This window comes from Homo sapiens, chromosome 6 (assembly GCF_000001405.40).
Source record: "Homo sapiens chromosome 6, GRCh38.p14 Primary Assembly".
Lineage (NCBI taxonomy): Eukaryota > Metazoa > Chordata > Mammalia > Primates > Hominidae > Homo > Homo sapiens.
The window spans coordinates 110435967-110463560 of NC_000006.12; the positions used below are offsets into that span (position 1 = coordinate 110435967).

The following is a 27594-nucleotide window of genomic DNA, read 5'->3' on the forward strand; positions in this document are numbered from 1 at the left end:
AAAAATTTAGCAGAATAGATCATCACAAGTGGTATTTTTAAAGGAAAATAGAAAATCTTTAAAATCATTACTTAAAACATTCTAATTCCTTCAGTATTTTTTCAGAACAATGAAGACCCTTATTTTTCTGTTTGAATGTATTAAACTCTACTCACAGTCTGAGAAAGCTTTCCATCTTTACGAAATGTGGAGGAAAGTTTCAGTGTGTCTCTTCTCCCCATCCACTTTGGAGGGTTTGAACTGTGACGAAAGCCAGTTGGGAAGACTGTTTTGGAAGGAGACACGCCCTGATAGTGCTGGTGGCACCAAGAATTTCCCCACTCCTTCTGGGACTGATCCAGCAGAATGAATCAAGGAGCCATACAAACAAATTGTGAGCCGGGCCTAATGGCTCACACCTGTAATCCCAGCACTTTAGGAGGCTGAGGCAGGAGAATCACTTGAGGCCAAGAGTTTTAGACCAGCCAGGGCAACATAGCAAGACCCCATTTCTACAGAAAAACAAAAAAATTAGCTGTGTGTGATGGTACATGCCTGTGGTCCCAGCTACTGGAGAAGCTAAGGCAGGAGGATCATTTAAGCCCAGGAGTTCAAGATTACGGAGGGCTATAATCACACCACTGCACTTCAGCTTGGGTGACAGAGTGAGATCTTGTCTCTATTTAATCTATTTACTTTTCTTAAAAAAAACAAACAAAACAAATTGTGCCCTTTGTGGCAGTAATCCCTGGCTTATAAATTATCTTCAGAAAATATTTGAAAGTGGTAACTATTAGTACAGACTGTTTTGTTCATTTGTTTGTTTGTTTGCAGCTGATACATTCCTCAATGGCAAAACCTTTACCTCCACCTCGGTTTTTATTCTCCCTAATGTGTTCCACTTCCAAAGGTAACTAACAAAGACACCCTATATTCCGAAATCTCCCTCCTCCCCCATCTGCCAACTGGATGCTGAGACCCAGGGTGGCCTTGCGGCTGATGTGTTAAGGACAGCAGTGCCTCTGTCAGCCTACATCCCTGAATGACTCCATGGACACAAACACCCACTCACCACTCCCACTTTGGCCAGCTAGGTACAAATACATGGAACTTTCTATGAGCAGGTAACAAACATCCTTTATGTTAAGTCACTGAGATTCTGGGATGCCTCTATTAAAGAGCTAATGTCACCTTAATTACAATTGTAAATTAAATTAATTAACAATTGTTAATTAAATTAGTATTTGTATTGTGTTGACATTATCACCTGGGGAAAAATTTATTGGAGGGGAGAGATTTGTCGTTGTGGGTTAATGCTCTATTTCTAGAAATCTCCATCAGCCTCTTTCTCATCTTCCCTATTAGTGTAGAACTCAAAGGTTCTGGTGTTCCCCAACTCTTCACCAACTTAAAGGCAGCTGCCATCTACTCAACTACCATCACTACAAACTACTTTTTTAAAGGTGTGGATGAAGTTCTCTCAAATTGGCAGAGACCTCCTTGTCCCGAGTAGTTTTATTGCATTCAATTAGTTGTGTATCAATCACCTGGAAATTTCATTACATAAAATATTTGGCTCACCGATCCTAAGCATTAAGTAAAGTGCTACTATAAAAGGAAGACACTTGTTAGCTTAAATTAAATTTCAAACGATATGCAAAACTTAAAATGCTTTGCTCTAAATGTTGATATACTATTGCTTAATGATTATATAATCACAGGAGAACATTAAATAAAATATTTTAAGTACTGTTATAGTGACATTTTGCAAATCAAGAATTAAAATACAGATCTGAAAACATCTTTTTTGGGAAGAGGGGAAGCACTTCTGGATGCAAGAGGTATTTTGAGGGACGCAGTTTGCCAAAATATGGGAATGTGAAAGTCATTTCAGGAATTTCTGGGTAGTGTTTCTCACTAAGAAACTGTTTTTAAAAACAAGCTCCTTGGGGTGTTTATGCGTACCAGACATTGGAAACTACTAATCTCCTGCAATGAAAAACAGTGTACTGAAACTCTACCAGTCTTGAATATCTGACTCATATCCTTCAGATGTCTCCATGGCTGCCTCCCTCATTCAGGTTTCTGATTACATGTCGCCTCCTCCGAGAGGTGCACCATCCTCGACCACCCTAGACAAAAGAGTACACACGGGTGCCAGACGCCCTCTCGTTACATTTACGGAAACTTGATGCACTGTGTGTTCTCAGCACCTGGCACATAAAAGATGGTGGATAAATGTTTGCTGAATGAATAAATGAGTGAATGTTCAGTATGATGATGCTGGAAGGTGTGATCGACTTTCCTCACACAAGATTATTGCGTTTACAAAATACAACACTGGTCATCTCTGGGAATTAGGATTATGAACTTTTTATTTTTTATTTTTTATTTTTTGAGATGAGTTCTCACTCTGTCATCTAGGCTGGAGTACAGTGGCAGTGATCAGAGCTCACTGCAGCCTCGAACTCCTGAACTCAAGCCATCCTCCTACCCTCAGCCTCTTGAGTTGCTGGGATTATAAGTGTGAGTCATTGCACCCAGGTTAGGCTTTTCTTTTTTTTTTACATTTTTCTCTTCAAATTTTCTAAAATGAACATATATTACTTATATAACAGAAAAAGAATGTTTTAAAGAAAACAGATTTTTAAATATTATATACTCTGCCCAAATCATACTCTGAATTGACCTTCATACTTAACTGTAATAAGCTAAATTCTTCCCATCAAACTGTCACAGTATAACTGTCTTATAAAAAACAGAAGATAACTCACCTGGGGGATCACCATAACGACACCACAGGCCAGTGCACTGCAGAAAAGAGAGTAGGCCAGGACTGTTCTCCTCCCGACCTTGTCCATGGCGATGCACACGAAGGTGTAGGCGGGAATTTCCACTACACCTGTCATTGAGCAAGCAGCCCTCTATAAGTCTAGGTACCCGACTGCAAAAGGGGACCCCCGTCTTCTAACCCACTACCCAAAAGGCATGAGCAGCCCTCTCCTCACTTCTGGGGCCTTTAGAAACTCTCTAAGAATTGCTGCGAGGCAGCCAGCCCCGCCACTTTTAAACTCACTACAGTAAAGATGAGCGTTTCCTGTGAAATGCTCTAATGCTCATAATCCGCCTGGCACCTGCAAATGGCACAAAGCCAGAGCCCAAATTCCCACCAGCCCCAAACTGTCTCAGGAGATAAAAACTTGTTCAAAAATTTCACAGCCGAGAATTATTGAACAGAAGCACCCATCTGCAAGAGTACAAGTGAAAAATCCAAAACGGTAGATAATATAAAACCATGTGTGTTTGTCTTTGGAAACATTTTTGTATTTATGAGATTGCCCAGTTTTTTGACAATTTATGTCTTTGGCAAAAGTAAAAAACTATGTCATGAAGATCTAAACTTCTAGCCTTCCTAAGCTTCTGCATCCACACTCCACCCCACCTACCATTGGCCACTCTGTTCTAGGGATACTGCACCATCTCAAATTGTCATAGAGAATGAGTTTGAAGTCAAGACAGGCTCTTTCTATAAACTTGTTAGTTTGCTTCAAAAAAAAGAGTAAATCTTTTTTTCTTAAAACGACTTCTCTCATAATTCCTGCTGAGCTATAATGAACAAAAACGGATGTGTCTGCTGAGGAAATCAGAAAAAATAACCAGATGTGCCGTCAGAGCACTTTAATGAGATGGCACGATGTCTACGTATAAAAATTTAGAAGCAAGATGTTTTGAGGATAATATAAAATACAGGCAGCCTACACAGCAATAAGCAGGAGTTAAGACTAGATGGATAAAAAGAGGTTTCTAATATTTCTCTCACGTTTTAGTTTAAATTTGGTTTACACTAGGAGTCACATCTCAAGCTATCTAAAGTGATTTAACCTGCCATTAAAATGAAAGAAGTACAACAACATAAATTATAGTTGCATGTATTTAAAAGTTATTTTACTAACTAAAATTTATAAATTAAGGACACTTGAAGGTTGAGAGGTGCCAGATAGCCAAGGCATATTAAATTTTAAAAGGGAAGCAACTTACAAAGAACAATATATAGTGAGTGATCTCATTTATGTTAAAATATAAAACATTAATATGCACAAATATATGAAAATGCGTAGAAACAGATCTGATCAGCACAGGAATTTTGACCTGCTCCATTTTCGACCAGGGCCGGTTCACCCCTCCTTAGGCAACCTGGTGGTTCCCTGCTCTCAGGAGGTCACCATACTGATACTGAACTTAGTGTGGACACCTGATCAGCATAGAGTACTGCAGCCCAGAACTCCTGGGCTCAAGTAATCCTCCCTCCTCAGCCTCCCGAGTAGCTGGGACTACAGGCACATGCCACAATGTCTGGCACAAATGCATAGGAATAGATCTGAAAGGGCACAACCCAAACATTATAGAAGTTACCCCTGGGAGGAGCTCTGGGCTGGGGATGGGTGTGAAGAAGGTGAGCAAGGAGAGAAGGCAGAAAGGGAGAGACTAAATTCTTCTGATGCATTTTTTTCAAATGGAAAATACAAGGAGTTTTCAAAAAGGTCATGGACGGCGGGGTGCTGTGGCTCATGCCTGTAATCCCAGCACTCTGGGAGGCCAAGGCGGGTGGATCACCTGAGGTCAGGAGTTCGAGACCAGCCTGGCCAACATGGTGAAACCCTGTCTCTACTAAAATATAAAAATTAGCTGGGCATGGTGGCATGTGCCCGTAATATCATTTATTCAGGAGGCTGAAACAGGAGAATCGCTTGAACCCAGGAGGCGGATATTGCAGTGAGCTGAGATCACACCACTGCACTCCAACCTGGGCAACAGAGCAAGACTCCTTTTCCAAAAAAAAAAGTTAATGGAAAGTGCATATTATGAAAAAACTATGCATGTGTTTTCAGATTTTTTCTGCACTAAAAGAAATTTGTACTAACTTCTTAGAACGTGTCTGAAGAGGAGCTAGTTTGAGGCACTAAGAAGAATAAGATATCAGTTTGAAAAGAGCTCCCACTAGAGCAACATGAATTCTGCTGAAATTGAAGCAAGAACAAACATCAAATTTATGGTGAAGCTTGGGTGGAAGAATGGTGAAATCATTGATGCTTTATGAAAAGTTTACGGGCACAAAGCCCCAAATAAATCAGCAGTTTACAAATGGATAACTTATTTTAAGAAAGGACAAGACGATATTGAAGATGAAGACCACAGTGGCAGAGCATCCACATTGAGGAAAAAAATACATCTTGTTTATGCCCTAATTGACAAAGACTGAGATTAACAGCAGAAGCAATAGCCAATACCATAGATATCTCAATTAGTCTGGCTTACAGAATTCTGACTGAAAAATTAAAGTTGAGCAAACTTTCCACTCAATGGGTGCCAAAACAGTTGTGCCCAGATCAGCTGCAGAGAAGGGCAGAACTTCCCATGGAAATTTTAAACAAGTGGGATCAAGATCCTGAAGGATTTCTTTGGAGAATTGTAACAGGAGATGAAACACGGTTTTACGAGTCTGATCCTGAAGACAAAGCCCAACCAAAGCAATGGTTACCAAGGGGGGCCATGGTCCTGTCAAAGCAAAAGTGGACCAGTCGAAAGCAAAGGTCATGGCAACGTTTGTTGGGGATGCTCAAGGCATTTTGCTTGTTAGCTTTCTGGAGGGCCAAAGAATGAAAATATCTGCTTATGAGGAGAGTGTTTTGAGAGAGTTAACCAAAGCTTTTGTAGAAAAATGCCTGGGAAACATCACCAGAGAGTCCTTCTCCTCCATGACAATGGGCATGCTCATTCCTCTCATCAAACAAGGGCAATTTTGCAAGAGTTTTGATGGGAAATCACTAGGCAGCCACCTTAACAGTTCTCATGGTGGCTCATTCTGACTTCTTTCTGTTTCCTAATCTTAAAAAGTCTGTACGCGGCACCCATTTTTCTTCAGTTAATAGTGTAAATAAGACTGCATTGACATGGGTACATTCTCAGGACCCTCAGTTTTTTAAGGATGGAATAAATGGCTGATGTCGTACAAAAGTGTCTTGACCTTGATGGCAATCATGTTGAGAAAGTTTATGTTTTAAATTTTTGTCTTTTAATGCCATTTTTCCATGAACTGGTTGAAGTCCCCTCATATGTACATGTGTTACAACATAACACTAAGAGATATCATAATAATATGGTTGGCAGTATTGTTCCTGGTTTTAAAGGGCCTATTAAAAACATTCTTTTTCTCAAATTCACACAGAAACAGACACACACACACAAATGGTAGAAATCTCACTTCACTGCCAAATTTAAATATACTGTAACTACTTACCCAGGAGGAAGAGGTTTAAGTATTCATTGCCTCCTAAGTTAACAGAATTCAAGGAAAACGAGTAGAATCCCAAACTTCCAGTGAACCAGATTAGCCAAACGGTAAGTGTCCTTTTCGTAATGCTCCAGTTATAAAACAGATATGATAGGTTGTGCTTCTGAACTTCAGTGGGGCTATTACTAACAGGACCTTGTAGGTCCAGTGATAAAAGTTCTGACAGTTTACAGGAGCTTGCCCTGTTCCACTTGGCCATGATGTCAACTATTTTTTGTGCTTCTTCATATCGTCCCTCTGAGAGAAGCCAAAAAGGTGTCTCTGGGAGCACCCAACAGCACAGGATAAAGGGGACAGTCACTGTGGAGAGGATCATCTGGTAAAGCCACCAGGTCCTGACCAAGTATCCTGTCAAAGCCACCAGCAGGGTTCCAACTGCAAAAAAGGAATGCAAATGGACAGACGCCCATGTCCGAGACTTCATGCCAATGAATTCCATCACATAGACAAACCCCACCACAAGATAGCCACTTGCAACCTGAAAAACAAATAATAGGGATTTATATTCAAGGTCACATTTATAACTATTGAGGAGTCTGACCCCATTGCAAATCACATATAGGCAAAAAAGAAAATGACAAAGACTTGCTTTCTGAAACCCCTATCAGATGTATAAAATGACATTCAATCCGATCTATCTTTTTTTCTTATAGGTCCTTTCATCTTCCCTCATCCTCCCCACCCCAAATGGCAAAACTTGAGAGATTATTTATGATATAAATGTTAGACATTGTCTTTTGTGTCATCTAAATATTTCATTATACTGTGGATGTATTTCTCCATTCCTTGTAAATGCATACATCAAGTTATCTGTATCCAGGAGGTCCTTATTGTTAAATCCTAACTGCTAAATGGAGACAAAAAAATTTACGCTAACTAGTGGTAAGAAAAACTGATTTAATTAAAATTCTATTTTGACAGGCAAAGAAGACAAATTAGACTTCATGAAAATTAAAACTGTGCATCAAAGAACACTATCAATGGAGGGAAAAGGCAACCTGCAGAACTGGATAAAATATTTGCAAATCAAATATCTGATAAGGGATTTTATGGAGAACTCCTAAAATCCAACAACAGCAAAAACACAGACAATCCAATTCAAAAATGGGCAAAGGCTTTGAACAGACATTTCAAACAGAAGAAATACAAATTTTTACCAATCATTGAGAAATGCAATTCAATGCTACAAAGAGATACCCCCTCATACACATTAGTGTGGCTAATTAAAAAAAAAAATAACAAGTTTTGGCGGGAATGTAGAGAAACTGGAACCCATGTGTAATATGTGAGAGAAATGTATAATGGCACAGCCTCTAGGAAAAACAGTATGACGATTCCTCAAAAAACAATTACAGCATGATCCAGCAATTCCACCTTTGAGTATATACCCAAAGGAATTGAAAGTGGGGTCTGGAAGAGATGTTTGCACATGCCTGCTCATAGCATTATTCACAACAGCTAAAGCATGGAAGCAACCCCCCAAGGGTCCGTCCATAGATGAATAGATAAGAAAAATGTAGTCTATGCATACAATGAATATTATGCTAAGGGAAATAAGCCAGTCACAAAAAGACAACTATCATATGATTCCGCTTTCATGAGGTACCTAGAGTGGCCAAACTCATAGAGACAGGATGTAGAATGGTGGTTGTCAGGGGCTAGGGAGACAGGGAACAGAGAGTTATTATTCAATGGACAGAGTTTCAGTTTTGCAAGATGAAAACGAGTTCTGAAGATGCACAGTGGTGATAATTGCACCACAGTATGAATGCACTTAATATCACTCAACTGTACACTTAAAAATGGTTAGGATGGTAAATTTTGTGTTATATGTACTTTACCACAAGAAGGAAAACTGGGGAAAAACTTTATTTTGGAAATATGACTATCTTTAATAAAAATTAGATTACAATATGTGATTAGAATATAATATGTGACCATTCTTGAAATAAACAAAGAATGAGTCCATTGATGGGTTTTTTGGGAGGAGGAGGGGAAGAATTTTTTCTACAAAATTTTTTCATATTTGACTTCTACAACACAAATCATACAATTAACTTTTGTAAAATTATTCGAGAGCACCACTCCCCAAAGGCTTCTCTTAATCATTAGATATTTGAATCATACTCTTTCAAAGGCTCATTATGTGATTATCCTTGCAGATGTTAATTTCTTCAAAAGTTAACAGGTCTCTCTGCCAGATCCCCACTGGCCAAAGGTTGTGGGCAGGATTCAGGCAGTGTTCCCCTGTTCCCTCACTGCTTTTAAAGACTTTTTGTAAACATGTGTCCCTTGTAATAACTGCAATTTCTCCTTGCATTGGACAGTCACAAAGAGGCCGGCCTACAAGGATATTCCTGCTGTCAGAAAGGGTTGACACTAGCAGGAGGCAGGGAGGTGCTTGATGAGGACTACTGTATTCATAATCAGTTTAATATTTTTGTGACAACAGCTTTTATTTCCCTGTGCAACTTTGTAATGGCAAGACTCAGATCATCGGGACCCTACATCTAACAATCCAGAAGTCGCTTTTGGTAAGCGCTGCTGTTACATTAACAAAGATTGTGATAACTTTCAAATACTATAAATTTCCCAGTTAAATTAAGCTGTAATATTTGTCCCTGTCAGGTTTTTCAATGCTAATTATTTCTCATGAGTCAGCTACAACTTCCTCTGTTATTGGATTCAGAAAATCCATATACAACTAACTCCAAAACACTCTGTGAATCCACTCACACCCATCCCTTCCACTGATAATAATACTCACATCTTCTCGGAATCCACCCCCTCATAGCAGCCAGAATTCCTGGAATCCCTTTTGTGGATTGCCATTGCCTTTAGGAGATAGAGCAAAATCCTGACAATCCTACAAAGCCCCACCTAACCGCCTTGATCCCTTCAGCCTCATCAATGCGTCTCTCCTCCTCTCTATTCTCCAGACATTCCGGCTTTTCTTTCTCATCTCAGGGCCCTTTCATCCACTTCTATCTTTGCTGGAATATTCTTCTCTCACCCATCCCTCACAGTGAGAAAACCCTTGACCCTCCAGACCCTGGTGAACGCTCCAGACCCACTGATGTTATGCCCTCACTGTCAACATTTTATTTATTTTTGAAGATGGCTGATCAACGTCTTGCCTTTCCTACTAGACTTACTGAGACAGCTGGGTCTGGTTTACTTAGCATTACACTCTGTAGACAGATCAATAAATGTGTTGAGTAAATGAATCTGCCTGCATCTCCCATCCACAGAATTCCCCCACAAATCCATTCCCCATGAACATCAACGGAAACAGTCACAGAAAATTAAGGCCACATTTCACGGATGTATTCTATGGGTGTGGCCTTGTTTCCTTGGGTATAGAAGCCAACGCGTGGTATTTTGCAAGACTGAAACAGATATTTTCAGAAATATCCTCTTAAGTCTTCCAAAAGATGATGTTTATACTTTCTTAGTACCTGTGCCTTTGTGGAGCCTTCAGTCCCACCAGAAGGTTTCTCTCGTGAAATCTCACTCTACAGTCACAGAGTTATGTCCTCAGTGGAAACAGAACTACTGGTTGCTATCTTGTATTTAAAACTCTTTACATTCCTAAATATATATATTTACTTTTTAATGAGGTACAACACCTTCCAGTCTCCTAGATTTATTTTTATGCATCTTCCTTATCCTTGGCCAACTGTATGGTTTGCTAGAAACCCTTTCTATCCATCAAAAAAGACTCCAAAACTGACACCCCATCTTGTTCTCTGAGGGGGTGCAGAGAGATTGAAGCCCTTTGCTTCTCTCCAGACCCTCAGACCATCCAACCTGCTGCTCTGCATTTAGCAAGATCACAAGCTCCTCCTCCAGATGGAAACTTCCCTCTATTATTCTTGATGTTGCTTGATAGTTGGAAATCTATCTGGAAGCCTCACTGAGCATGGAAACAGCCTCCTTGCTCGCTAGTCCATTTCTAGTAAGTTACCATTGTAATCAGGTGCTGTACTGCGGTTGTTTATACTTAATCTCACTGAATCCTGAGAATAATAATAATAAACACAGATTCTTTTCTACAGTTTACAGACTGCAACCAAAGGTTCAAAGAGGATACTGATCATACAACTAACAAGCCAATATATGACAATGCTGGTATTCAAACTCGTGCCCTTTCCACTAAACTGCCGTTCCTGGTAACATAAGGACCTAATGCCCTCCTGTTTTCATTCTTCCTGTACATTATACAAGTGACTTTAACCACACACCTCAACTGTCTGTTTGCTCATGTGAACAGGCCCTGACTAGACCAATATGATTACTCAGAAAGAAAATAATGCCTCAGTAATTGTGACATGTGGACCACATGCCCGACACAGAGGCAAACACACTTCTGCCTAGCCAGCAACAATTTTTCACTTTAATGAGTTCCATTCTAAACATAAGGCATTGGTATTCTGTAGGCAGACTTCTGCAGTGGAGTGGACAAAGATGAGTCCTTGATCTCGCTCACTAGATCTTAAATGAGCAAAATGATGAGAGTTAAGGTTTCCTATGAAAAACTGCAGCAGAATTAAAGAAGTAAAAAACACAACTCACCATGGCAAGAAAAAAGCGAGCAGCCATGAAGGTGTAATAATCAACTGCAAACGCCGCTGCTATTCCAAACAAAAACATGCTACTGCTTGTGGCCCACAAGACCACCCGGCGTCCTAGCCTGAAAAATAAGAGTCACACAGTGGAAGAGGAAAGGTAGAGTTGTAACAGTTTAAACATCCACTCCAATTCATAAAAGATAGGCATTACCTATATACCTTGAATAGCTTATGTATTGATTGTTTTTCTTTTATTTATTTTGAGCAAACCATAAGTTCCATGGCTTCTTTAAAAGACCAGCTGTTCAGTGGAGAGGCCTTTACCTGAGTTGCTAATATACATACCTGATCACTCTGAGTCATCCCCGCAGGACCCTTTAACCTGGGATTGGGGGAAGAGAGGAGAGAATTTGTCCTCTCCCTTTCAGGACTTTGGCTCTCTGTGGGATCATCTTCCCTGCCAGGCTGGCTCTGTCCACTAAGGCTATGACAGCTCTTGCCAAGCCCCTCTAAAAACAGAGGTCTTGCTACCTTCTTCTTCTAGAATAATGTGCTTACTTGCCCTATCTTTTCATAATTGAAAGAGGCATCTCTTTGTTTAAAAAACAAATAATATCTGACAGATTTTAAAATTGTGATATAATTCAAATGCCATAAAATTCAACCTTTTAAAGTAGACAATTTGGTGGTTTTTAGTATATTTGCAAGGTTGTGCAACCATCATCATTCTTTAATTCCAGGATACGTTAATCACTCCCAAAAGAAACTCTGTGCCCAGAAGCTGCCACCCCCTCTTCCCTGCTCCCTCCAGTCTCTGACAACCACTCATCTACCTTCTGTCTCCATAGATTTGCCTGTTCTGGACATTTCCCATAAATGGAGTCAAACAATATGTGGCCTTTTGTGTCTGACTTCTTTTCCCTAGCATTAGATTTTCCAGCTTCTTCTGCGTTGTAGCATGTATTAGCACTTCATTCCTTTTTTCTCTCTGAGTAGCACCATTATACGGATAAACCACATTTTATCTATTCATCAGTTGATGGCTCATTTTCCTCTTCTTGGCTATTATGAATAATGCTGCTCTGAACATTCATGAACAAGATTTTGTGTGAACTTAGGTTTTGAATTCTCTTGGGTATATACCTAGAGTGAAATTCCTGGGTCATATGGTAACTCTATGTGTAACATTTTGAGGAACTGCCAAACTGGTTTCCAAGATGGCCGCCCCATTTTTCCATTCCCACCAGCAATGTATGAGGGTTTTGATTCTCCACATTCTCCCCACTACTTGTTACTGTCTGCCTTTTTTATTATAGCCAGCCCAATGGCTGTGAAGTAGTATCTGATTGTGGTTTTTATTTACAATTCCCTAATGATTAATGATGTTGAGCATCTTTTCAAGCGCGTATTGGCTATTTGCATATATTCTTTAGAGAAATGTTTATCCAAATTCTTTGCCCATTTTTGAATTAGTCTATTGCTTTTTTAATATTGAGTTGTAAGAGCTCTTTATATATTCTGGATACTAGACCCTTATCAGATATATAATAAGCAAATATTTTCTTCCTATGGGTTGTCTCTGACAAATAGTTTAAGGCAAAAGAATATTGTCTGGAGAGTCCAACCAACAGATTTGCTTGGTGCAGCAGAGGATATGCAAATAAATAAGAAACCATCATCTTCACACTTCAGCCTTCTTTGCTCCTTTGCACATTAGTAGAGATTGTTGGCCCTATATATGAATGTTCCCCAATCTAATTTTATCCCTGAATGCCACCTAAAACTATTTTTACCTATCACTGCTTGACCCTCTCTCCCACCTCAAACAACTTCTCTCTCTGTAGATGAACAGCCATCTCCTGCAGAGAACAGAGACCATCAAAGAGGAAGACCCACAACTTCCTGCTCTGTCCACTTACCAACATGACCTGCATCTGCATTCAGCCTTCTCTTCCTGCCTCTCTGAAGACACATGCCCCTTTCTCTCCAAATATCATTTTGCAATCTTTGTATCGGCTTGTGCCTCTTCCCACTTCCTCTGAAACCCTTCACTTCTTTTTCCTTTGTTTTTCCCTCTCCTTTGACTTCTTCCTTTCAGTTTAGTCTCCTCCAACCAAAGACAAGAACCTTCTCTTGACCCCATTGCTCCTTTAGCCACGTTGCATTTCCTCCCTTGACAGATATATCAGAAGGGAGTATTTCCTTCCTCAACTCCTACATGTTTCCTCAGCCAATGATGACCAGGTGCAACCAACTTTTCTGAGCTCATTTTGCAGTCACCAGGGACCTGCACATTGCCTCTCCTGGTCCTTTCTGCCTGTCCTCTCTAATGCCACTGACCATGCCTACTCGTTAGACCCCTGCTGTCCTTTGGCTTGTAAAACATCCCTCTCACCTGGTTCTGCTTGTACCTCCCTGATGACCCGCCTGCCTCAAAGCTGGACTCCCTAAAGTCCTCTGCTGCACACTCTGCCCTTGTGATTTCATCCACTTCCCTGGCTCTGATTCCTAAGTATGGGCTATTAACTCCCCACCCACCATCTGGCCCCAGTTGCTCTTCTCTGCTTTAATGTCCTGCAGAGCTGCAATCTCTTGTTGCTGTTGTAATTGGTATTAACTTTGAACACATCTTCACTTTGTTTTTCTTAATATAGGGATAGGACTTTGTTTTTCTTAATAGGGATAGGACAAGCTCACTGGAATATATCCAAACGTGTTCCCTTCTCTTCTAAAACTGCTCTCTCCCTGGTATTTCCTGAATTGGTTAGCAAAATCTCCTTCCATTAGGCTTCTAAACCTTAATACATTCCTCCGCTCCCTCCTGCATATTCGTCATCAGATTATGTGAGTTTAGAAATGCCTCCCAAATATGTCTTCATCTTTTCCTCCCTGCTTTTCCCGCTTTCACTCAAGTCTTCACCATTTCTTACATCATTCATCCCACTAGCTTCCCAGCTGGTCTTCCTAACCTCATGTCAGTACACCTTCCACACTTCCTAGAAATAAAATAATCCCCATTGTGGTTTTGTCTCTTGTCATTTCCTTTCACAATCTGCCCTTCTCTACTTCTGCCACACTGACTTTCCCACAATTCTCTGAACATGCCAGGTTGTTTCATGACACAAAGCTATTCCTTTCCCTTGGGGGCCTTCTCCATCTGACAACTTCCATTGATCATTCCTTGGGGTCTCATAGCAAAAATTCAGAAACAGTGTGATGCAGTAGTTGGGGATGCTGGCCTGGGCTCAAATCCCAGCTCCATCCCTTATTTTCCATGTGAACTTTCTATGCTTCCTTTTCCCTACTGGTTAAAAAAAAAGGAGGGGGGGGCACAATAGTGTCTATCTCACAGACCTCTTTAAATAATTAAATGAGATGATATATAAGACATTTAGAATAGTACCTAGTGTATAATAAATTGTCCATAAATGCGAGTTTTTATTATTTTAAAAGCATTTACCGGCTGGGCATGGCGGCTCATGCCTGTAATCCCAGCACTTTGGGAGGCCAAGGCAGGCAGATCACTGGAGGTCAGGAGTTCAAGACCAGCCTGGCCAACATGGTGAAACCCCTACTCTGCTGAAAATACAAAAATTAGCCAGGCATGGCGGCACATGCCTGTAGTCCCAGCTACTCGGGAGGCTGAGGCAGGAGAATCACTTGAACCTGGGAGGCAGAAGTTGCAGTGATCCAAGATCGCACCACTGCACTTCAGCCTGGGCAACAGAGCTAGACATCTTCTCAAAAAAAAAAAAAAAAAAAAAAAAGCATTTACTACATTTCATTGAAATTGTCAGTTCAAAAGTCTATATTCTCCACTGTTAGCTCCTTAAGGGTGGGATCAGATCTTATTTCTTTGCTTTTTTTATTATAATATTTTATACATATATAACCATGCATAAAATATGTACAGTTTCAAGAATAATAAAAAATCAAATGCCTAGAAATCACAACCCAAGGCAAGAAAGAGATGATTGCCAGCCTCCTGATAGCTTCTTGCACCTCTCTTTGTGACTACAAATCCCTTGCCCTTTCTAGGAGGAAACATTTTTCTAATTTTGGTGATAATCTCTTGTTTTTTGTTTCATTTTACTACTTTTATAAGCAATGCTAAACAATACAGGTTACTGCTTATAAACAGTATAGGTAAGTTTTGCTATTATGATTTTAAATTTTCTATAACAGGACAATACCACATGTATTATTTTATGACTTGCTTCCTTTATCAAACATTATGTATAGGAGATTCATCTATGTTGTTTCATGTAGCTGTGTCTCATTCATTTTCATGTCCACATATCCTACTGTAAGAATATATTTTAATACATGTGTCCATGAGATAATTGAAGGACATCTGGGTTGTTTAGAGTGCAGGGCTGTTAGGAACAATGCTGTGAGGGCACTTTTATGCATGTACCTCTGTGGACCTGTGCAAGAGCATGCTCAGGGTATATGCCCCAGAGCATGTGGCTGTGCACATCACCAACTCTATATGATACCAAATCAGTCTTCAAGGTTAACCCAATTTGGATTCTCAGTTTGCATTCACACCAGCAGGATGAGAGATCCTATTACTCCATATCCTCACCAACACTTAGTATTACAAGACTTCTGACTTTTGACAACTGGTCAAAAGTAAATGGTGTGATTATATGTCACTGTCAATTCAACTTTTCATTAGCCATTTGGATTTTCTTTTCTATGAAGTGACTTCAAATCTTTTTCCCATTTTTCTATTGGATTGTCTTTTTCCCATTGATGTAAGTAAAAATCCTTTGACTATTCTGGACACTAATAATTTAGTTATATGTAAAGCAAATATTTTCTCTCTCTTGTGTGCACACATTCATGTCTTTCCTCTTTTAATGGTGTCTTTTGGTGGACATAAATTCCTGTAATGAAGTCAAATTTATCCATTTTTTCTTTCATGATCAATGTTTTTTGTGTTTTAGAAAAATCACCCTTTCTTCCATTAGGTCCTGAAAATATTCTCCTAAATTATCTTCCTAAAATCGTATAGTTTTGCTTTTCACATATGCACGTTTAGTCCTTCTGGAACTGCTGTTGTACTGTAAAATGTTAGAAAATGAATCCAGTTGTATTTCCTTCTATATAGCTAGACATCTGTCCCAGCACCACTTAATGATTGATCCTTTTCCTGCTAATATAAAATGCCTATGTGTCTATACTTATGTTTATGAATGCACAAGTCTATTCCAGGAACCTCTAAGGGAGCCTCAATCTGTTTGTCTAGTGATATATCTATTTACTTTAATGATTTGATTCTTCAAGTTTATAATTGTCTCCACAGAGGGCCTTCTTCACTTTTTGTTATATTTAACCATTTATATTTCATATTTTTAGGTTTCTGCAATGACATTTTTAAAATTTATATATTTGTTACTGGTATATAGAAATATAATTTTAAATGCTCATTAATTCTAATAATTCATATGTAGGACTTTTTTCATACAAAATTGTAATAACTACAAATAATGACTTTTTATTTCTCCTTTCCAATCATTATTCTTTCCTTGCTTCCTTTCCTTCTACCTCTTTCTCTCTCTTTTTCCTTACAGCACTGGCTAGACTATCCAGTACAATGCTAAGTAGAAGACATGTTTCATACATCCTCGTCTGTTCCTAATCTCAAAGGAAAAGCTTTTAACATTTCACAGTTAAGAGCTGGGTGCAGTGGTGCATGCCTGTAATCCCACCTACTTGGGAGGGCTGAGGCAGGAGAATTGCTTGAGCCCAGGAGTTTGAGAACAGCCTGGGCAACATAGCAAAACCCTGTCTCTAAACATAAAAAGAAAGAAAGAAAAAAGAAATTAATATTTTAAACTTCACAAGTAAGATATTCATGGTAAACCTTATTGTAGAAACCTTTTATCAGGTTAAAGGCATTCTTCTATTTTTAGTTTTTATGATGAATGGATTTTGAAATTCATCAAATGCTTTTCCTATATGTATTGAGTTGATTGTATGAATTTTGTCCTCTAATACGTTAATGTGGTAAATACCATTGATTAGTTTCTAATATTAAGTAGATTTCAGAACTTTTCTCTTTTCAGCCTCCATAAATTTTAATCTCTCATATTTCCCACCTCTCTGTCTCTCTGAGCTTTAATATTGATGACTTTTTCTGAGTTATCATCCATTTCATGAATTTTTTGTAGCTGTGTGTGACAGGTTGTTAAAACTTTGCAGGTGATTTGTTATTCACTTATTTCACTTTGTATTTCTAGATGTCCTGGGTATTCTTCAATTTTATGTCAGTTTTAATGCAATGTCCAGTTTTTATCAATATTTTTAAGCTTGTCTTCTATTTCTTTAAAAATAGTAAGTGTGGTTATTTTATTATTTGTGCCTGATAATTCTAGTATTTGAAGTCTTTGTGCAGAAGTCTGCTTCTGCTGCCAGTTGTTTCTGTTGATTCTCACTCATGGTCCCTTTTAATTATGTCTTTTGGTTTTCACTGAGCTACTTATTCACCTTGAAAAATAATTTATGAGAATCCTCTCAGGCCCAAGATGAGGGTATACAAAGAATATTCAATTTTATTTTACTCTAAGTTAATATGTTAATCTGTACTGTTTAAGGGATGCTGGCAAAAACACAAGATGTTTGGGTCAGAGACAAAGAACTTCATTACTTACTTCGTTAGCAAGCAGTAGGGCAGCAGCATCTTTGTCTCAGGTCCTCTAATCCCCAAGTCCCACAATGAGTCCAGATGACACTTCACAGATAGTGGGTTGAATTAGAGAGGAGGAGCACTGGATGTGGGGAATCCACTGGTTTTGTACCAAGCAGTTAGGAAGCCTACTCTTTGTGGCAGAGAGGGGACATTATCTCATCATATTAGTTAATTTTATGTTGCTATAAAAGAACACCTAAGACTGGATAATTTATAAAGAAAAGAGGTTTATTTAGCTCATAGTTCTGCAGGCTGGGAAGATCAAGGGTACTGGCTTCTTGCAAGGGCTTTCATGCTACATTACAACATGGCAGAGAAGGTCAAAGGTGAAGCAGACACATGTAAAGAGAGAGAAACCTGAGGGGTGTCCTCACTTTAAAACAATCCACTCTTGCAGGAACTAATCAATTCCTGCGAGAATTAATCCAGTCTTGTGACAGCCAGAACTCATTCACTCACTGCCATGAGAACAGCACCAATTCATTCATGAGGGATTTGCCCCCATGGCCCAAACACCTCCCACTAGGCCTCACCTCCCAACACCGCCACACTGGGGATCAAATTTCAACATGAGCCTTGGTGAGAACAGACTAATCATATCTAAGCCATAGCACTCATCTTTTAAGGTACTGGCTGCATAGACAACTCTGAGAAATGGCCCACATAAAAAAGTGGTCAGGGACTTGCCATCTTGGCACATCCAGCAAGAAGTATAGAAGACTACAAGAGGTGCAAGGAGGCTGTCTCTTTCAACAAATTCCGCCGAGAGAATACAGACACTGGGAGTCAGGGACCATGTCAAACCAATTTTTTAGCTTAAGGTTTTTCTGGAGCTCCCAAGTAATTTTAATTCAAGCTACCCATCCAAATGAATACCAGTTAATGGTATGCAACTTCTCAAGGACTTTAAAAAATATATATCATGGCTGCTCTGCCTATGGAGTGACCCTTCTTTATTCCTTTACTTTCTTAATAAACTTGCTTTCACTAATATATATATTATATATAATATTTATATATAATATATATTTATATATATTATATATTTTATATATAATATATATTTATATATATTATATATTTTATATATATTATATATATTTATATATATTATATATTTTATATTATATATATTTTTTGTATATATATTTTATATATATTATATGTACATATAATATATATATTATTATATACATTTATATATATAAATATATATAAATATATAAATATATATAATATATATATTATATATGTTATATTATATAATATATATATTATAATATATATAATATATGTTATATTATATATAATATATATATTATAATATATATAATATATGTTATATTATATATAATATATATATTATAATATATATAATATATAAATATATATTATATATTACATGTACATATAATATATTTATATTATATGTACATATAATTAGTGAAATATATATATAATTTCACTAATATATTTTTTATTTATATATTATATATATATATACACACACATCTCTGCATCTATCAAAGTGACTGTAAGTGTTCAATATATGTCTATATAACTATACCAAGTTCAGACAAAGGAACTAAATTTATTTTCAGTTAACATATTTTGTACTCTGACTGTGTTATAAGCATTATTTATATCCCGTTTTTGTCATACAGCAAATGTATTTTAGTACATTTCATACAAGTAGTTGCAAATATTTTGAGTTTCAAGAGTCAAGCAGTGAACACATTTCAACAGAAAAGCCCCAAGTGATAATTTGTATAACAGCTTGCTGAATGAAAACACTAATACCTAGCACCTTTGACATACTATGAGAGGTATGGCCCTGCCCATAACAAAGCCCTTTAATTTTTCTTTTGACATGTTTATCAGCCCCATTAGACTGGTATACCTCAAGGGCAGGGATTTCTGATCTAAGCTATTGTCTTTAGGTCCTCAGTGCCCACCATATGACTGTAAAATCCACAACTATGGAGACCAAATAAGTTCATCTCTGTGCTTTGGTATGGTCCATGTTCATACAGAGATAAACTTTGCTTTATTTTAAGAATTACATATTCATTTTAATGTAAATTTTTAAAAATATATGGCCAGGTTATGCTTTGAATGATAGTATTCCCTCCAAAATTCATGTTGAAACTTAATCTCCAGTGCAACACTATTAAGAGGGATGGCCTTGGGAGGTGATAAAGTCATGACAGTAGAGCCCTTAGCACCCTTAGAAAAGTGCTCAAGGTTGAAGGGAGCACTCTCCTGCCCTTCCATCCCTTCTTCCATGTGAGGACACTGCATTTATCCCATCCAAAGGATGCAGCAATAAGGCACCATCTTGAAAGCAAACAACAGCCTTCCCAGTCAGCAATCCTGTTGGCACCTTATCTTGGGCTTCCCAGCCGCCAGAACTATGGGAAATAAATTTCTATTGTTTGTGAATTACCCAGTCTGTGGTATTTTGTTACAGCAGCACAAAAAGACTAAAAGGGGCTGTTATATCAAGCCCATAATTTTACAGATATACTGCTTAGGATCAGGCTACTCCTATTAAAAAGCAAGTCTATTTAAAGAGAAGAAAATATTCAAAGTAATAAACCGTATCTATTGAGTGATTATATGTCCAGGGTACTTTTTTTCTGTATTAATTTTGCAATAATCCTTTGAAGTAAGTGATATTATTTTTTATCACCAGCCTATAGACAAAGATTCTGAAACACAGGTAAGTTAGGCAATTTGCCTGGGGTCCACAGTTAATAAGTGGTAGAACCAGGATTTGGATCTAGGTATACTGTCTTCAGAGCCTATCCTTATCATTATACATCCCTAAATAATGGATCAGCAAAGAGGTAGGTATTTAGATAGGAAGTATAAAAATGACAAGTTTTAAACATAATTCCTTGTGTCCCAAGAAAACCAGATAGGAAAATAAACCCTACACTGATACAACAATCCTAAATATTTGATTTTACCTGTCAGAAAAGTAGCCAAAAGTCACCGATCCCAGTAGGACTCCAAACATAAATAGGGGCTGGATCAGCATTGCAAGCCATTTTCGGTCACAGACCAGGTTCCACTGGGTCACCGCAGTGCTTTTCCATGTGTTCTGGTCATATATGTAGCCATCCACACAAGGAAACTCTTTCTTACTGCCAGTGTATTCATAGCCCAAACTCGATGTGTTCTCCCTCTTATTCCTGCTACACCTTGAGAGCTCCCAGATCTCACCATTCTGCAACTGCACCGTAACATAATCTTTCTGGCCTGAAGACAACAGGGCCCCGGTGTCCTCCAAACTCCAATTAGAGTGATTATGGAAAACAACCTGACTCACATTGCCTGGGGGCCTGCAGACATGATGAGGGGTGACTCCCATGAACACAGAAGCCAAGTAGTGAATACCACAAGAGATGTTCTGGAAGGCACATATGAAATAGAGGACTCTCTGGAATCTGCAAGAGAAGAAAAGCTAATTATTATATCTGGTCTATAGGCTGAAAAAGAACATAAGCAAATTTGAAGGGTCTCCATCATGTTTATCTTAACATATACACGAATGGATAAATATAGAAATAATTATAGACATATTTATATCTGTGGGTTAGTATATATACATATATTACTTAGCTCCATCTACTGAGAAGGCCTAGAAGCAATGACATCCCAAGAGCAGCAAGCACACCCATTGCCCAGATCTTAGTTTCTAAATACCATTCTCCAATGAGAGGAGCCAGAAAAAGTGGCTGATTCTAAAGCCAGGAAAAGAAGAATACAAAATAAGCCTGGAATATCTTACAATACCATAAAGTAAGGAAATACTCAAAAAACAAAAGGATAAGGGCATATGAAAGGGGCCCAAGTAGCAACCTGAAAAAGTTCCCAGTGGCCAGCTGTGGGTGGCAAGCCACCCAGGTGCCGAGGCAAGAGACCGAGCACGAGCTGTTCCATATAATAAAATATATAAAATAACAAGAGTTATGCTAGATATATATAGATCATAGACATGATTATATATAAGTATCACCAATCATTAGTTTGTAGTAATTACTCTTTATTTCAATACTATAATAATCCTAGCTCTACAACCATAACCTAAGAAAAACCAGGCCATACAGAGACAGGAGCTGAAGGGACATGGTGAGAAGTGACCAGAAGACAAGAGTGTGAACCTTCTGTTATGCCCGGGTAGGGCCACCAGAGGGCTCCTTGATCTAGAGGTAATGCCAGTGTCTGGAAAGATGCCCGTTACCAAGCGGACCATGGTCTAGCAGTAGCGTCAGTGCCAAAGAAAAGTACCCGCTACTTAGCAGACCAGGAAAGGGAGTCTCCCTTTCCCCAGGGGAGTTTAGAGAAGACTCTACTCCACCACCTCTTGTGGAGGGCCTGACATCAGTCAGGCCTGCCTGCAGTTATCTGGAGGCCTAACCATCTCCCTGTGATGCTGTGCTTCAGTGGTCACGCTCCTGGTCTGCTTTCATGTTCCATCCTATACACCTGGCTCTGCCTTCTAGATAGCAGTAGCAGAATTAGTGAAAATATTAAAAGTCTCTGATATGCAGAAATAATGGCATAAGCTGTCTCCTCTCTCTCTCTCTCTCTCCCCGCCTCGGTTGCCAAACAGGGAAGGGCCCCCTGTCCACTGGACACGTGACCCACGTGACCTTACCTATCATTGGAGATGGCTCACACTCTTTACCCTGCCCCCATGTCTTGTATCCAATAAATAACAGTGCAGCCTGACATTCAGGACCACTACCAGTCTCTGTGTCATGGTGGTAGGGGTCCCCCAGGCCCAGCTGTCTTTTCTTTTGTCTCTTTGTCTTGTGTCTTTATTTCTACGATCTCTCGTCTCCACACATGGGGAGAAAAACCCACAGACCCTGTAAGGCTGGCCCCTACAGCCAGTTGGAAGCTGAAACAATTTGAGCAACAAAATAAATGGCATAGTATATCCCAAAGCATAAAATAAATATACATGAATTCATACTGTGTGGTTAATTTTATGTGTTAACTTGACTGGGTTAAGGGAAGCCCAGATAGCTGGCAAAACATTATTTCTGGGTGTGTCTGTGAGAGTGTCTCTGGAAGAGATTAGCGTATGAATCAGTAGACTAAGTAGAGATCACCCTCACCAGTTGAGGTGGGCATCATCCAATCACTTGAGGGCTTGAATAAAACAAAAAGGTGAAGGAAGAGCAAATTTATTCTCTGCATGAGCTGGGACATCCATATTCTCTGGTTCTCAAATATCAGAGCTCCTGGTTCTTGGGTTTTTGGAATTAGATGAAGACTTACACCAGGCCTTCAGTCTGGGACTGAATTACACCACTAGCTTTCCTAGTTCTCCAGCTTGCAGATAGTAGGTCATGAGACTTCTCAGCCTTTATAACCATGTAAGCCAACTCCTATAATAAGTCTCATATATGTGTGTGTGTGTATGTGTGTGTGTGTGTGTATCCTATTTGTTCTCTTTCTCTGGAGAAGCCTGACAAATACAATACACCATACTCATATAAATAAATGAATGAAAAAATAAAAGAGGGAGAAGAGACCAATCTTTCTTACATTAGAATTCAATTACTATCTGTAGACATTCCCTCTCTCCAGGAAGTAGAGTTTAATTCCCGCAATTTACTCCTAAAGGGTGGGCTAGGCTTAGTAACTTGCTTCTAAAGAACAAAGCAGGAAAAGAGGAAAAATAGTATCTTTACAGTGGGGAAACCTAGAAACTTGCAAACACTAAAGTCACCAAGTGATGAAGGTTAACATCCCCAGTGACGTCATGTGGATATGCTGTATCCCTCCTATGATCTGATGAGAAGGGCACTTCATCTCTGTTGTTGTCTTTCCAAAAACCATAACCTTAGTTTAATAATTTAAAAAAAGACCCCAGATTGGGGGTCATCTACAGGTTACCTGGCCAATATACCTAAAGACTGCCAAGGTCACAAAAAATAAAGAAAGACTGAGAGACTGCTACAGACAATTAAATGCAGTGTGGTGCTCTGGGACTGGATCCCGGAACAGGAAGAGGACACTTGGAAAAACTGGTGAAATTCAAATGAAGTATATAGTTAGTTAATAGTAACATATTAATATCAGTTTGTTAGTTCTGACAAATATGGTAATGTAAGATGTTAACAATAGGGGAAACTGGGTGAGGGTCATATGGGGACTCTGTACTATCTGTGTAACTTTTCCATAAATCTAAAATTATCAAAAAATAAAAAGTTTATTTAAAAATTTAAAAAAATAGAGTCTCCAAATTTATAGACTCAAACCAACAGTGACATATTTTCTGAAGTAAAAAATCACCGCATAAGGACAATTATGCCCACAGGACAACAGGATAGAACAGATAAAATTTGGATTACCCCACAAAATTCCAACCCCTGAAATTAAGAGGCATAGCAGACCTTTGAACAGGTGACTTAATTATTTAGATTGAAAACAGAATCAGTTAAGGCAATCACCAACATTCCTATAAAACCATTAAAATGGGAGGTAGGAAATAGGTCCTGTCCGATCAAACTGAGGTCAAATTGCACCATTGACACATGTGATCTCCATCGCCCTTCTTCCTTTGCAGACCTGCCCACCCCGCTGCATCCTGATGCTCCCTCTCACTGGAAGATGCTTCTGACCATCCCTCAGCTCAGCAGTTCTCACACTTTTTGGTCTCAAGAGCCTCTATATTTTTACAAATTTTGAGGATTCCAAAAGGACTTTCTTTATGTGGATCATATTTATCACCTTTTATATATTAGAAATTAAAATGGAGAAAGAGAGGAGGAAAGAGAGCCAAGGTCTGCCAGGGAGCCCACAGGAAGAAGCTGGGGCAGAGAAAAGGAAAACAGCAAGAATCTGGCAGAGACTGGCCCCTGGGGAGCCTGGAGTCTTACAGAAAGGGTGGATAGGGGTGCATCCCTTCTCACCTCACCCCTGTAACAAACTGCTGACTACCAAATTGTGGGAGAGCCCCTCTGCCTTCGTGACCCTGGGCAATGCTGTCAGTGGTGATTTGGGAACTTCCTGAGAATAGAGTGCCAGGTGACCAACTCATGCAGGTGTGCTGGCACTCCCCTCAGGCCTGAACTGAGATGGTGGACACCATACTGGTTGTGCACCTGTTCTGAGCCACTGCCCTGCCCAAGCAACCTCAGCCTTTGTGATATTGTATCACCAGATCCCCCAGAAACATACCCCACAACCACTCTGACTTTGGCAACCATGGGGGACCAGCAGGACCCTGGGGAGCTGCGGGAACCCCAGAAATCTAGCCCTCAGTGCAGGTTTCTTCTAGGGGGAGCACAGCCCACCAAAGTGCTCCTTGGGACAAAGGAAATGCAGGCACAGGACCAATCTCTGAAAGGGGCGGTAGTAGTAGCTGGGAAGGGACATGGAGAGGGGACTATTTCCTACTCCACCCATTCACTGTTGCAGATGCAGCAGAGGCTTTCCCTGCTGGAAGCTGGCATTCGTGCAATTGAAGAAAGGCTTTCTAGCACTTTTCACAGTGGCTGCATCCCCACTGAAAGTGAGGTGGTACTGCCTGGGCTTTCAGAAAAGGCAGGGCCCATCTACCGCTCCCTACACAAAGTAGCAATGTCCCTGCAACAGAGGACAGACAAGCCACAGAGCTGACTGTTCTGGACTGGAGAAAGAGGCTCTGACCCGAGGCCATTTTGGTGGTAGCCACAATCGAAGCCTTCTCACAGACCTCAGGAGTGGCCAGGAGCCAAAGGACAGTGTTTAAAAGAACTGAGGGTTATGAGTGCTGTGAAAGGGGCATGATAGGTAGTGGATCATGTTCTTGTCTGCCCAGGATGAGGAGCTGGTGCAGCCCCCTGCTGGCCCCTACCCCTGAGACCTCAGAACCCCCATCAAGGAAGGGGCTTCCACTCATCTTTGGATGACCTGAGGGTGAGCTAGCTCTTCTTACCCTCAAGCGTCACTTACTGGACTAGAGACTGAACTGCATCATCAAACAAAAAACCTGCTGTCAGAAGAGCACAGTGCTAGTGTATGAGATAAGCTTCCTGAGACCTCCACACTCCTAGCCCTACAGAAGATAGTGTGTCAGCTCATACACCCTACATATCACTGCAACAAGCAGCATCTGGGAAAGCCACCACACAAATGATATCCATAACCAAGGAACCCATAGAGACCCTTGGCCCCCTGAAAGCACCCAGAAACAAAGCCAAACAATCATACGCAATATATACTACAGCCACACCCTCAAGTGAAAAAAGAATACAAACTTTAAAAGTTTCATTCAAATGTTGGCAAATTCAAAAATAGGAGGCAACAGCTCTGTATTTGTCCAATTTCATGCTGCTGATAAAGACATACCAAGACTGGGCAATTTACAAAAGAAAGAGGTTTATTGGACTTACAGTTCCACAAGGCTGGGGAGGCCTCACAATCATGGCAGAAGGCAAGGAGGAGCAAGTCACATCTTACATGGATGGCAACAGGCAAAGAGAGAGCTTGTGCAGAGAAACTCCCATTTTTAAAACCATCAGATCTTGTGAGACCCTTTTACTGTCACAAGAACAGCACGGGAAATACCTGCCTCCATGTTTCAATCATCTCTCACCACATCCCTCCCACAACACGTGGGAATTATGGGAGTTAAAAGATGAGATTTGGGTGGGACACAGAACCAAACTATATCAAGCTCCTTCAGATGAGAAGGAATCAGCATAAAAGCTCCAGCTATACAAAAAGACAAAGTGTTTTGACACCTCCAAACATTACTAGCTCTCTAGCAATGGATCCTAACTAAAATGAAAATTCTGAAATGACAGATAAAGAATTCAAAATATGGATTGTAAGAAAGCTCACTGAGATGCAAAAGAAAGCTGAAAATCAACCCCCAAAAACTTAGGACATGAAAGACAAAATAGATATATTAAACTTTAACTATAGTGAAAGACTAGACCAAGCAGAAAAGATAATTTCAGAGCTTGAAGACCAATCTTTCTATTTTAACAAGTCAAACAAAAATAAAGAAAAAAGAATTTTTTAATGAATAAAGTCTTTGAGAAATATGCAATTATGTAAAGGGACCAAATGTATGACTTATATGTAATCCTGAGAGAGAAGAAGAAAAAGTAAGCAATTATATTTAAGAGAATAATTCAGGAAAATTTCCCTGATCTTGCTATAGAGGTAGACATTCAGATGCAAGAAATTCAGAGAATATCTGGGAGATACTATAAAAGATGAATGTCACCAAGGCATATAGTCATCATACTATCCAAGTTTAATGCTAAAGAAAAAAATCTTAAAGGCATCTGGAGAGAAGTGTCAGATCGCCTATAAAAAGAAATCCTGTCAGACTAATGAGACGTCTCAGTAGAAATCTTACAAGCCAGAACAGATTGGGGGCCTATTTATAGCCTTCTTAAAGGAAAAAAAAAAGCCTCCCAAGAATTTTATATCCTGCCAAATAAGCCTCATAAAAGAAGGAGAAATAAAGTCTTTCCCAGACAAGCAAACACTAAGGGAATTAATCACCACTTGACCAGTTCTATAAGAACTGCTTAAAGAAGTTATAACCATGGAAATGAAAGGACAATACTTGCCACAGTAAAATCACACATAAGTAGAAAGTTCACAGATCCCATAAAGCAATTACACAATTGACACTACAAAGCAACTAGCTAACAAAACTCTGACAGGAACAAAACCTCACATATCATTATTAACCCTAAATGTAAACAGCCTCAATGCTCCACTTAGAGGATATAGATGAGCAAAATGGATTTTTTTTTAAAAAGACCCAACCATCTGCTACCTACAAGAGACCACTTAATATGTAAAGATACCCATAGCCTAAAGTAAAGGGGGGTAAAAAGATATGTCATGCAAATGGAAAACAAAAAGGAGCAGGAGTTGTTCTTCTTATATCAGATAAAACAGTCTCTAAAGTAACAACAGTAAAAAAAAAAAAAAAAAAAAAAGACAAAGAATAGCATTATCCAATG

The 27594-nt window shown here is 39.3% G+C and overlaps 1 protein-coding gene and 1 pseudogene across 11 annotated transcripts in view, besides 1 other annotated feature; both read right to left on the bottom strand.

The window, feature by feature from the left end:
• SLC22A16 (solute carrier family 22 member 16) overlaps positions 1–27594 on the bottom strand; it is a 51927-nt gene that overhangs the window by 11280 nt on the left and 13053 nt on the right. For 3 of the 11 annotated variants that reach the window (XM_011536208.4, XM_011536209.4, XM_011536207.4), the window contains 4 exons: positions 20934–21051; positions 10907–11024; positions 6278–6809; positions 2754–2881 (listed from right to left, as the gene is read on the bottom strand). In XM_011536208.4, coding sequence (XP_011534510.1) covers positions 2754–2881; positions 6278–6809; positions 10907–11024; positions 20934–21051 — 896 coding nt within the window. Of the gene's footprint in view, positions 1–2753; positions 2882–6277; positions 6810–10906; positions 11025–17561; positions 17642–20571; positions 21052–27594 lie in introns of those variants that run through there. The other 8 variants (NM_033125.4, XM_011536205.3, XM_011536204.4 and 5 more) reach the window with 5 other exon arrangements.
• RN7SL617P (RNA, 7SL, cytoplasmic 617, pseudogene) lies at positions 4106–4327 on the bottom strand (annotated as a pseudogene).
• Positions 19212–19724: an enhancer, noted in NCBI's record as "NANOG hESC enhancer chr6:110776381-110776893 (GRCh37/hg19 assembly coordinates)". NCBI's record gives its function as "activates a minimal SCP1, AML or CMV promoter by ChIP-STARR-seq in naive H9 embryonic stem cells {active_cell/tissue: H9 hESC(naive)}" and the evidence as "EXISTENCE:reporter gene assay evidence [ECO:0000049][PMID:30033119]".